Below are 12,382 nucleotides of genomic sequence, written 5' to 3' on the forward strand. Positions count from 1 at the left end.
AGGGTGGAGGAGCGGAGGCTGAGGAAGAATTGGAACCTAGCTCAGCCTGGCGAGGAGGAGAGGTCAGATGGGTCTGTAGAAAAGGAATATTAGAAAGACTCAGCGACGCTTGGGGTTGCGACTGAGGGGACAGGTGGGAGGGAAAGAAGGAAGATTTGGGACGAGTTGCACTGGGCACAGAGACTAGGAAGGGACTGATGTGTAAAAGAATGCCTGGACATCAGGCACCTCAGACCGTTTGCCCATTTTACGACAAGAATTATTTAGATCTTGTAGGATGGAAAAACTGAAAGTGCCGTTTTCTGGCTATTTGGAACTACTGTCGAGTTTGTATTGGGGTCAAGTGGAATTGCAGAAGAAAATAAGGCATTTATTTAGGTTTTAGGTCAGGTGTGAGTTGAAGAGGTTTTAAGTTCTTAAGAACACAGGCTAAGGGAGAAGAAAGGAATGGAAGGTGGAAGCTTGCCCATAGTGAAGGAGGTAAGCCCAGAGAAAAGAGTAGAGACACGGAGAAGGGGTGGGGGGTTCTTGCCCTCCAGAAAAGCAGAGAAGGGGTTGGGGCACGGAAATAAGGGATTGGGGCACAGAGATATAAGAGATTGGGGCGCAGAAATAAGGGATCGGGGCGCAGAGATACATGGGGTTGGGGTACTTACCCCTCCCCTAGAAAAGCAGAGAAGGGGTAGAGACACGGAGAGAAGGGGTTGGTGTACTTGCCTCTCCGCCAGAAAAGTGGGACTTGCCGCTAAGGGTGAAGGACCAAGGCAGGCGTCCCTGCATGGTCTGACACCTTTGAAACGTGGGTAAATAATCAGGCGTCCCTGCAGTGATTAAACACCAAGGGAAGGCTGCCTTCCCAGTCTCTGACCGGCGCCGGAGTTTTGAGTCCACAGATAAAATGTGTCTCCTTTGTCTCTACCAGAAAATGAAAGGAATTGAAATTAAGGGAGAGATTGAAGTGTTTCATGCGCGTCCGTGTGAAGAGACCACCAAACAGGCTTTGTGTGAGCAACATGGCTGTTTATTTCACCTGGGTGCAGGCGGGCTGAGTCCGAAAAGAGAGTCAGCAAAGGGTGGTGGATTATCATTAGTTCTTATGGGTTTTGGGATAGGCGGTGAAGTTAAGAGCAATGTTTTGTGGGCAGGAGTGGATCTCACAAAGTACATTCTCAAGAGTGGGGAGAATTACAAAGAACCTTCTTAAGGGTGGGGGAGATTACAAAGTACATTGATCAGTTCGGGTGGGGCAGAAACAAATCACAATGGTGGAATGTCATCAGCTAAGGCTATTTTTACTTCTTTTGTGGATCTTCATTTACTTCAGGCCATCTGGATGTATACGTGCAAGTCATAGGGGATGCGATGGCTTGGCTTGGGCTCAGAGGCCTGACATTCCTGCCTTCTTATGTTAATAAGAAAAATAAAATAGTGTTGAAGTATTGGGGCGGTGAAAATTTTTGGGGGGTGGTATGGAGACAGAATGGGCGATGTTTCTCAGGGCTGCTTCAAGCGGGATTAGGGGCGGCGTGGGAACCTAGAGTGGGAGAGATTAAGCTGAAGGGAGGTCTTGTGGTAAGGGGTGATATTGTGGGGATGTTAGAAGAAACATTTGTTGTATAGAATGATTGGTGATGGTCTGGATACAGTTTTGGATGAATTGAGAAACTAAACAGAAGATCCAAGGTCCAAATAAAAGAAGGAGAAAAATGGGTATTAAAGGACTAAGAATTGGGAGGACCTAGGACATCCAATTAGAGAGTGCGTAAGGGGGTTCAGCGTAATTACTTGCTTGGTTGGCAAGTTTTTGGGCTCTATGCTTGAGTTTTTTTATGTTGTCATACATCAGGCCAGATTGATTTAGGTAAAAACAACACTCTTCATTTAAGAATATGCAGAGTCCTCTTTTTTCAACAGTGAGTAAGCAAGGCCTCGGTGGTTTTGGAGGACAACTGCAGCTAAAGAGTCAACTTGGGCCTGGAGGACTGATAAAGTTTGTGACATGTCTGTGATGCTAGCAGAGAAGTCATTAGACAGGCTACGGAAGGTCATGACAGAGGTTGAAATGCCTGCTATTCCAGTACCGAGAGCAATAGTGGAGGCAGAAAGTCCTAAACCGACCATCAAGGGAATTAGTGGAATGACTCTTCTTTGTTGTGTCGGTGTCATGAGGGGAACAGGGAGCTCTTCGTTCCTATTTGCAAATTGAATTTTGGGAGTAAGGAAGACTAGTGTGCATGTGCCTGTCCAATTAGCAGGTAGACACATGTTAGGTAAAGGATCCACAGAGGAAGAAGAGACCTTGTGCGAGGCAAAACTGGAGATGTAAAGTAAAAAGATGAGGAGTGCTGCAAGGGGTGTCTTGTACCTAGAGTCCTAGGGATCCAGCTAGGGCGGCAGCTGTCAGAGGTTGTAATGGGGACTGATGGGGTAACTGCATAGAGGGGGAGGTTCGATTTTCATGGTGTATGAGAAAACGTTGAGTATCTACAAGCAACCTTTCACTATTATTTTCGGGGCTGGGTAAAAGTAAACAAGAGGAGGGCCTGGGAGGAAGAGTCTGATGAGCAAGGGGAAAGTAGCCAAGGATGGAGTGAAATACAGGGCAAGTGTCTTCCTAAGCAATAATTACTGCTAATGTTTTTAAGTTTGTCAGTATTGATAGCGGGCTTGTCTGTAATATGGAGCTGGAAGGCTCCCATTGTTTGAGTGATGTGTGTAGTTGGACTTTGGAGATGAAGAGTAAAGGAACATCGAGAAGGTGAAAGATTACCTAGGGGAATTCCAGTGGGTCTTTGCCGAGAGATACATATAGGAGCGGCCACAGGCATAGTAGTTTGTGTTGTGAGAGGTCCGAATATGGGGGGAGAAAGGAGAAAGGAGAAAGGTTTTTTAAATAAGTGTGAAGGAGGGCGGCAGCTTGCTGATGTGAAATGTCTGGGGAAGTCTTGCTGGACCTGTCTAGAAAGTAAATGAGTTCTTCAGGAGGGTAAAGGTGAGGGCTGTTACAGGAAGTTCGGAGGTGTAGGGAGATGGGAGATGTTGCCCAGTCTGTCTGTAAGGTGGGGACAGCTGTGTAGGCACTGGAAGAAAGGGAAATGCAAAGCCAGCAGTTGTTCACTAAGGAGGGATTAGAAGCGGCTAGGAGAGAATGGGTAAGGTTGATAGTGTGGTGGAGATAGCTGGGGAGAGGTAGAGGGTGGCATAAGAATGGGAATGAGAATAAGAGTGAGTATAAAAGTAAAGAATAGAACTTCATCAGGGTGGAAATATTGGAGGGTGCCTTGCCAGCAAAGATCATCTATCCACTCTAAGAGGGAGTTAAGAGTGGCAGTTTGGGGATAGCACCAAGAGATATCAGCTGTGATGGCTTGAAGAAACAGTGTAAACCGGCCGTGTAAACAAGAGTAGGGCATTTATAAGTAGTTGAGAATGGAGAATAGGAGTATGACCAGACAGAAGATAGTAGGGATGACTAGTTTTTTGGGGCTCGGCCTAAGTGGTGGGGGTGACTTCGTAAAGCCCTGTTGCAAAAAGTAGGGTAAGGACGAAAAACCTAATAGAATGAAGGGATGTATTAGGCTCATAAGGGTTATGACTGTTCTTCGAAATACGACTGAGTTTAAGGGAAGTAGGGGAGAGTACTTGCAACTTCCAGGAGGAAGAGGAGGGATTAGGCTGGCTGTCCGATGGACACAGCTTTATTCTGGAACGGTGAGCCTAGTGGGGAGGATCCTGCAGGCGGACAGCAGTCGGGGTACTATAGATGACTAAGTAGGGTCCGGTCCATCGAGGTTGTAGAGTTTGAGGAGTCAGATTAACAAGAACTGATCGTCCAGCTAGGGTGTCTTCATATGGCTGGGGATCTGGAGTAGGCAAGAGAAGCTTAGCAGCCTGGCGAATTTCCTGTCTAGCCTGCTGGAGGACTGGAAGACAGTCGCCTAGAGGGCTGGTGTCTGGGATGAGGTTGGGGCCAAGCAAGAAAGTGCGTCCATATAAAAGTTCAAATGGACTGTACCTACCCTGTAGCATCTCGAGAACAGGCTCTAATTCTGAGAAGAGCAAGAAGTAAAAGTACTGTCCAATCCTTTTTAAGTTGGAGGCTGAGCTTGGTGATGTGTACCTTTAAAAGACCATTAGTCCGTTCTACCTTTCCTGAAGATTGAGGACTGTAAGGGATATGAAGGTTCCACTGAATACTAAGAGCCTGAGAAACTGCTTGGGTGATTTGACTAGTAAAGGCTGGTCCGTTATCAGACTGTATAGAGGTGGGAAGGCTAAACTGAGGAATTATGTCTGACAGAAGGGAAGAAATGACTGCGGTGGCCTTCTCAGACCCTGTAGGAAAGGCCTCTACTTATCTAGTGAAAGTGTCTACTTAGACTAAGAGGTATTTTAGTTATCTGACTCGGGGCATGTTGAGTGAAGCTAATTTGCCAGTCCTGGGTGGGGGCAAATCTTCAAGCTTGATGTGTAGGGAAGGGAAGGGGCCTGAATAATCCCTGAGGAGTAGTAGAATAGCAGATGGAACACTGAGAAGTTATTTCCTTGAGGATAGATTTCCACGATGGAAAGGAAATGAGAGGTTCTAAGAGGCGGGCTAGTGGCTTGTACTATAGCATAGCCTGCCTTTGCTGCTATGTGGCGATTAGGCCTGGTGGAACCGCCATCAATAAATCAAGCGTGATCAGGGTGAGGAACAGGAAAGAAGGAAATATGGGGAAATGGGGTGAATGTCAGGTGGATCAGAGAAACACAGTCATGGGGGTCAGGTGTGGTATCAGGAATAATGTGGGAGGCCAGATTGAGGTCCGGGCCAGGAACAATGGTAATTGTGGGACTTAACAAAGAGTGAGTACAGCTGAAGGAGCCGGGGAGCAGAAAGTATATGCATCAGGTATGAGGAAGAAAATGGATTTTGGAAGTTATGAGAAATGTAGAGAGTGAGTTGAGCATAGTTTGTGATTTTTACGGCCTCTAAAAGTATTAAAGCAGCGGCAGCCGCTGCACGCAGACATGAGGGCTAGGCTAAAACAGTAAGGTCAAGTTGTTTGGACAGAAAGGCTACAGGGTGTGGTCCTGGCTGTTGTGTAAGAATTCTGACCGCACTAACCATGCCTAGGAAGGAAGGGAGTTGTTGTTTTGGAAGGGATTGAGGTTTGGGAGATTAATCAGACAAGATCAACAGGCAGAGCACGTGTGTTTTTATGAGAATTATGCCGAGATAGGTAACAGATGAGGATGAAATTTGAGCTTTGGAGGGGGATACCTGATATCCTTTGGAGAGTAAATGCTGAAGGAGCAGAAGTGTGTCTTGTTGAGAAGATTCAAAGGAGGGGCTACAAAGAAGAAGGTCATCAATATATTAAATAAGGTGAGAAGCGGAGGGGTGGAAAGAAAGTAGATCATGAGAAAGAGCTTGGCTGAAGTAATGAGGGCTGTCCCTGAAACCTTGTGGCAGCACAGCCCAGGTAAGCTGCTGGGACTGATGGGTGTCAGGGTCAGTCCAGGTGAAAGCAAAGAGAGGCTGGGACAAGGGGTGCAGGGGAACGCTGAAAGAAGCATCTTTAAGATCAAGTGTGGAATAGTGAGTTGTGGAGGAAGGTATTGAGGATGAAAGAGTGTATGGGTTGGGCACCACAGGGTGGATAGGCAAAACAATTTGGTTGATAAGGCGCAGATCCTGAACTAATCTGTAAGACTTGTCCGGTTTCTGGACAGGTAAAATGGGGGGATTATAAGAAGAGTTTATAGGTTTTAGAAGCCTATGCTGTAGCAGGCCAGTGATAACAGGCTTTAATCCTTTTAAAGCGTGCTGTGGGATGGGATATTGGCGTTGAGCGGGGTAAGGGTGATTAGGTTTTAATGGGATGGTAATGGGCATGTGATCAGTTGTCAGGGAAGGAGTAGAAATGTCCCATATTTGTGGGTTAAGGTGGGGGGATATGAGAGGAAGACGCAAAGGAGGCTTTGGGTTGGGGAGAAGGGCGGCAATGAGATGCGGCTGTAGTCCAGGAATAGTCAGGGAAGCAGATAATTTGCTTAAAATATCTCGGCCTAATAAGGGAACTGGGCAGGTGGGGATAACTAAAAATGAGTGCTTCAAAGAGTAATGTCTAAGTTGGCACCAGAGTTGGGGAGTTTTAAGAGGTTTAGAAGCCTGGCCGTCCATACCCACAACAGTTATGGAGGCAAGGGAAACAGGCCCTTGAAAAGAAGGCAACATGGAGTGGGTAGTCCCCGTTTCGATTAAACAGTGGGTGGACTTACCCTCCACTGTGAGAGTTACCCAAAGCTTGGCGTCCGTGATGGTCTGGGGGCTTCCAAGGCGATTGGGCAGCGTCAATCTTCAGCCGCTAAGCCAAGGAGTCAGTCAGAGAGCCTTGGGCCAGAGTTCTAGGGGCTCTGGGAGTGGCTGCCAGGTGAGTTGAACAGTCCGATTTCCAGTGGGGTCCCGCACAGATGGGACACGGCTTAGGAGGAATCCTGGGCTGCAGGCATTCCTTGGCCCTGGTAGTCAGATTTCTGGCACGTGTAGCAAGCTCCTGGGGGAGGAGGTTCTGGAGGAACGCCTGGCCGCTGCGGTTCAGGCATTTGGAAGTTCTTGTGTGCTGGAGATGTGGCTGGGGTTTGTCTCACAGTGGAGGCAAGGAATTGCAACTTTTTTCTATTATTGTACACCTTGAAGGTGAGGTTAATTAAGTCCTGTTGTGGAGTTTGAGGGCCAGATTCTAATTTTTGGAGTTTTATTTAATGTCGGGAGCAGATTGGGTAATAAAATGTATATTGAGAATAAGACGGCCTTTTGACCTTTTAGGGTCTAGGGGCTGAGGAAGAATTGGAACCTAGCTCGGCCTGGCGAGGAGGGGAGAGGTCAGATGGGTCTGTAGAAAAGGAAGATTAGAAAGACTCAGCAACGCTTGGGGTTGGGACTGAGGGGACAGGCGGGAGGGAAAGAAGGAAGATTTGGGACGAGTTGCACTGGGCACAGAGACTAGGAAGGGACTGATGTGTAAAAGAATGCCTGGACATCAGGCACCTCAGACTGTTTGCCCATTTTACGACAAGAATTATTTAGATCTTGCAGGATGGAAAAATTGAAAGTGCCGTTTTCTGGCTATTTGGAACTACTGTCGAGTTTGTATTGGGGTCAAGCGGCATTGCAGAAGAAAATAAGGCATTTATTTAGGTTTTAGGTCAGGTATGAGTTGAAGAGGTTTTAAGTTCTTGAGAACACAGGCTAAGGGAGAAGAAGGAGGAATGTAGGAAGGTTGCCCATAGTGAAGGAGGCAAGCCCAGAGAAAAGAGAGCGTAGAGACATGGAGGGAAGGGGTTTGGGGGTTCTTACCCTCCAGAAAAGCGGGAAAGGGGTTGGGGCATGGAAATAAGGGATTGGGGCACAGAGATACGAGTTTGGGGTACTTGCCTCTCCCCCAGAAAAGCGGGACTTGCCGCTAAGGGTGAAGGAGAAGGGGTTGGGGGGTTCTTGCCCCTGCCCCAGAAAATCAGAGAAGGGGTAGAGACACGGAAAGAAGGGGTTGGGGTCCTTGCCCCTTCCTCAGAAAAGCGGGACTTGCCGCTAAGGGTTATGGACCAAGGCAGGTGTCCCTGCGTGGTCTGACACCTCTGAAACGTGGGTGAATGATCAGAGGCGTCCTTGCAATGATTAAACACCAAGGGAAGGCTGCCTTCCCAGTCCGTGACCGGCGCCGGTTTTTTGGGTCCACAGATAAAACGTCTCCTTTGTCTCTACCAGAAAATGAAAGGAATTGAAATTAAGAGAAGGGAGAGATTGAAGTGTGGCGCCTAGATTGAAAGGAGAAAGACGGTGAGGGATAGGGAGGTTGGAGAAGAGAGTAAAAAGAGGCTGCTTATTGGATTTGAAATTGGTGAGATGTTTCTTGGGCTGGTGGGTCTGAGGACCTGAGGTCGTAGGTGGATCTTTCTCATGGAGCAAAGAGCAGGAGGATAGGGGATTGATCTCCCAAGGGAGGTCTCCCGATCTGAGTCACGGCACCAAATTTCATGCGCGTCCATGTGAAGAGACCACCAAACAGGCTTTGTGTGAGCAACATGGCTGTTTATTTCACCTGGGTGCAGGCGGGCTGAGTCCGAAAAGAGAGTCGGCAAAGGGTGGTGGATTATCATTAGTTCTTATGGGTTTTGGGATAGGCGGTGAAGTTAAGAGCAATGTTTTGCGGGCAGGGGTGGATCTCACAAAGTACATCCTCAAGAGTGGGGAGAATTTCAAAGAACCTTCTTAAGGGTGGGGGAGATTACAAAGTACATTGATCAGTTCGGGTGGGGCAGAAACAAATCACAATGGTGGAATGTCATCAGTTAAGGCTATTTTTACTTCTTTTGTGGATCTTTAGTTACTTCAGGCCATCTGGATGTACACGTGTAAGTCATAGGGGATGCGATGGCTTGGCTTGGGCTCAGAGGCCTGACAGTAGGTGTTCTAGAAAGGTGTGTTGTGTTAATGTGTGAATACTGACTCCCCTCCTCAGTCACTGAGGCGGGGAGGGTGTTTGGCTCTTTTGAGGCATGTGAGAGTTGGTTGTGCCTTTGGTTTTTTGTTTGTTTTTTTTTCTTTTGAGTCTCGCTCTGTTGCCCAGGCTGAAGTACAGTGGTCTGTTCTTGGCTCACTGCAATCTCCGCCTCCCAGGTTCAAGTGATTCTCCTGCCAAGCAGCTGGGATTACAGGTGCGCACCACCACACCCAGCTAGGTTGTGCCTTTGTTAGGTTCTCTGTGACTTTTACCCACTGTGCCATTCCTGAAAGAAATCTTTTTTTTTTTTTTTTTAATTAGAAGAATTACTGGAACTAGCTTGGCACTGTTGGACACAGTCTTTGTCTCAGCTACTCGAGAGGCTGAGGCAGGAGGTTCGCTCGAGCCCAGCCTGGGCAACATAGCAAGACCCTATGTCCGAAGGAAAAAAAAGGCAAAATCAGAATTACCAGAACTGATTTCACATGTGTAGGTAGCAGATGGTGGCCATGCAATTCAGGTCTGTCTGAAGGCCCCCAGGCCTGGTACAAAACTGTGTAAGGCCAGTACAAGGCCCTGACAGGTTCCCAAGTGGCTGGACTGGAAGAGATGCCAAGTTCATGGCCTCCTAACCTGACTCCACCCAGCACTCCCTGGGCCCAGCGACGTTCCCTCCTGAAGCCTGAAATTCACCTCCACCTGAGGAGGCCATCTGCCTGGGGATAGGTTCTTGCAAAAATGAAAACACTCATTTCCAGAGGCAATTAATTCTTTTAAAGGATGTCAGATTTTTGGTACAAAATCATGGTTTCCACGTTGGCTTCATGCTCGGTGCTTTATGAGAAAAATCCCTTTTTTCTACGGTTGTGTTCATTGTATTGTAAAGCAATCGTAGATTATTTTAAGGTTTTGAGTTAGAGTGATTATCCAATTTTATGAGGGAAATAAAGGAATTCCATGAGAAAAACGGGGGCTTTCCTGCAGGGCTCGGGGTTGCGGGAGCGGCAGATAACCTGATTCATTAACGTGAGCCCAGTGGGATTGGTGGGGGTGATGGGGACACAGATGGGAGCACTCAACTCAGGCACAGGACCCCAGCAGAACATGCCCAGGTCCTCCTAGACATGGGCCCTTGCAGACTTTCTGAGGCCTCGGTTTCGTCATCTTACCAAGGTGTGACCCCAACCATCATCTCCTGAACTTCTGGCCACAGAGCTGTGAGCAAGCTTCCATCATGACCCCATTTTGGAGATGGGGAGTTGGCGCAGCCACACTGCTGCTCAGTGGTAGAACCAGCATCTGACCCAGGCCACCTGTTCCAGAGACCCTGCTTTTAGCCAGCAGCTCAGACCCCAGTCATGTGGGGCCATTTATTTATTTATTTAAGATAGAGTCTCCCTTTGTCGCCCAGGCTGGAGTGCAGTGGTGCGATCTCGGCTTACTGCAACTTCCACCTCCCGAGTTCAAGCAATTCTCCTGCCTCAGCCTCCCGAGCAGCTGGGATTTCAGACGTGCGCCACCATGCCCAGCTAATTTTTGTATTTTAAGTAGAAATGGAGTTTTGCTGTGTTAGCCAGGTTGGTCTCAAATTCCTGACCTCAAGTGATCCACCCTTCTCAGCCTCCCAAAGTGCTGGGATTACAGGCATGAGCCACCATGCCCGGCCCACGTGGGGCTGTTTAAATTAAAATCAAATTAACTGAGTTCCTCCATTGCATTGGCCACGTTTCAAGTGTGCAGAGTGACACATGGCCAGTGGCTGCCATCACCGCTGATGTCGCCACGTCCCTCATCACAGGAATATCCCTGGCAGCCCTGCTCCCGGCCCTCTGCCCTCCTGACGCTCCCTTGTGACTTGTTAGAAAAGCGTAGGTACAGCTAAAAAAAAAAAAAAAACTGATGGCTGTGAGAATACTGTCACTCGCTGATGCCTTCTGTGTAGAAAAATAAGCCTTAGACAGATCTTCGCAAGAACATCGTGATGGCTCTCATAGGCATAATTACGTGTTCCAAGCCAAATTGCAGTTCAAGAGAAGGTTATAAATCTCTTCTTAATAACAATTGTACTCACGTTCCTCTCCTGGAAACTAAGAGGAAGGTAGCTGAAGAAACTCTCCCTGCCCAGTTAAATCTTGTTTTTTGGGTACTTTTGGACTCCAGGGTCACATCAGCAATGGCCCGGGACAGACGAGGGGGAGCCTTCATCTGTACTTCGTGTCTTTCCAGGGTGGCAATGACCATGAGATCTTCACAGACCCCAGAACCATGGGCTACTCCGTGACAGCGCCTGAGGACACGCGCAGGATCTGTGAACTGCTGTTCTCCTAACGTGGGAGCGGGAGGGGCGGGGTCCCGGCTGACAAGCCAGCATAGGGCATTCGGTGGCCAGAGCCGAGGGTCCTCCCACACGTGCTCACCCACCCGCAGCCTAGGCAGGCTCTGCATGCTATGCCAGGCATGTGCAGTCTGGACTTCCACCTCCAGTGCCAGAAACTTCCAGAAGGAAGGAGAAAACTCTTGTCAAGAATGGCCCAGAGGAATGCCTCGCACAAAAGGTCTTCCCCACCCACCCCCAGCCCCCTAGTCTAATACCCACCCTGATACGTGCAATCATGTAGTTTTGGCGGAAATTTCCCCATCATTCTAGGATGATACAGAAAGAAAAACTGTGCCTGGACCCTCCCTCTTGGTGGGTCTGTGGAAACATAAGCGGTTTTTTTAATGGGCCCCTGCATCAATACCAAACATGGGGGTTTGGTAATGAGAAACCAGGACAGGCCATCTGCAGTGACCCAGCCCAGGACGAAGTTTACAAACACCTCCTGGAACGAAGCTCCCGCCTGCATGTCACCTTGATGGGGGCTGTGAGTGGGGCAGTGTGATACCCAGTGACTAGACGCACTCTGCGTTTTCCCGTGTTTGGGGCTGAGGCCTGCTGGACAGATGGCTGGCCAAGTGGGAGCAGACCCTAGGGAGTTTGCACCTCGGCTGGGCCGGATTCGGACCGGCTCTGTGTTCACTACACTCAGAATAGCCTGGCTGCTTCTCTGTCTCCGAGACCGGAGGTAGTGGGAACCAACAGCTGGGCTGGAGAGTTGGTGCTGGCAAAACAGTCCTTGCCCTGGGGCCGGTTCTTACCCAGGTCCAGAGAAACCAACGCGGGATGTCAGACTTCACCAAAAGGACTTTCTGGTTGCCCCTGGCTGGCTTCCTGGAGGCGTTCGCCTCTAGTTTCTCAGGGATGGAGCGAGAGCCCAGCCAGAGAACAGTAAGAGGAGCTGCTCTCCTATCTGCACTCACCCAGGCCTTCACCCAGACTTTACCACGGAGGCGGCTGAGTGCAGCTACAGCTAGGTCCGCGTCCCTCACTCTTTTCATCTTCTGCACGTTCTTCGTGAAACTGGAAGGATCCCGGGTCTCAGCTAGAACACGGTGGAAGAGAACTTTCCTAGGAAACGGTTCATGTGTCACTTTTCAGGATGTGGAAACACTGAGCCATACACCCTCCATTGCTTGGTGCTGGGGTTGTGTGGCCTCCACTGGGCACTTGCCGACCTGAGTCTGGGGCCAGGGGAGCCCAGGCTGCCCTGCACTCCTGCCTCCCAGCCCACAGCCAGGTGCTTTCATCACAGCTAAACCTGGTTCCCTCCAAACCTCCCAGCCACTCGGGCTTGTAACTGTCTGAGCCCCGGATCCGGTGGGGTGAAAGCAGCCAGCTCATCCCAGTGACTCACAGGACACAGCCATCCAGCGGCATCTTTCCTTGTCGAATGATACTGTAATGACCTTCCAAAGTGAAGAGTAGCACATTAAAGTGATTTTATTGTTTCCTGTTTCTCATTCCGATTTCTTTTTCCTCCTATGTTCCCAGATTCTGGAATGGAACCCCAGCC

The 12,382-nt window shown here is 49.0% G+C and overlaps 1 protein-coding gene across 2 annotated transcripts in view, besides 1 other annotated feature; it reads left to right on the forward strand.

The window, feature by feature from the left end:
- Positions 1-12,317, forward strand: part of PMM2 (phosphomannomutase 2) — a 51,487-nt gene extending 39,170 nt beyond the window's left edge. For both annotated transcript variants that reach the window (NM_000303.3, XM_047434215.1), the window contains one exon: positions 10,716-12,317. In NM_000303.3, coding sequence (NP_000294.1) covers positions 10,716-10,817 — 102 coding nt within the window. In that variant the 3' untranslated portion in view covers positions 10,818-12,317. The remainder of the gene's footprint in view (positions 1-10,715) is intronic.
- Positions 9,482-10,073: an enhancer, noted in NCBI's record as "H3K4me1 hESC enhancer chr16:8940347-8940938 (GRCh37/hg19 assembly coordinates)". NCBI's record gives its function as "activates a minimal SCP1, AML or CMV promoter by ChIP-STARR-seq in naive H9 embryonic stem cells {active_cell/tissue: H9 hESC(naive)}" and the evidence as "EXISTENCE:reporter gene assay evidence [ECO:0000049][PMID:30033119]".

The sequence above is a fragment of the Homo sapiens genome, chromosome 16 (assembly GCF_000001405.40).
Source record: "Homo sapiens chromosome 16, GRCh38.p14 Primary Assembly".
In the NCBI taxonomy this organism is placed as follows: domain Eukaryota; kingdom Metazoa; phylum Chordata; class Mammalia; order Primates; family Hominidae; genus Homo; species Homo sapiens.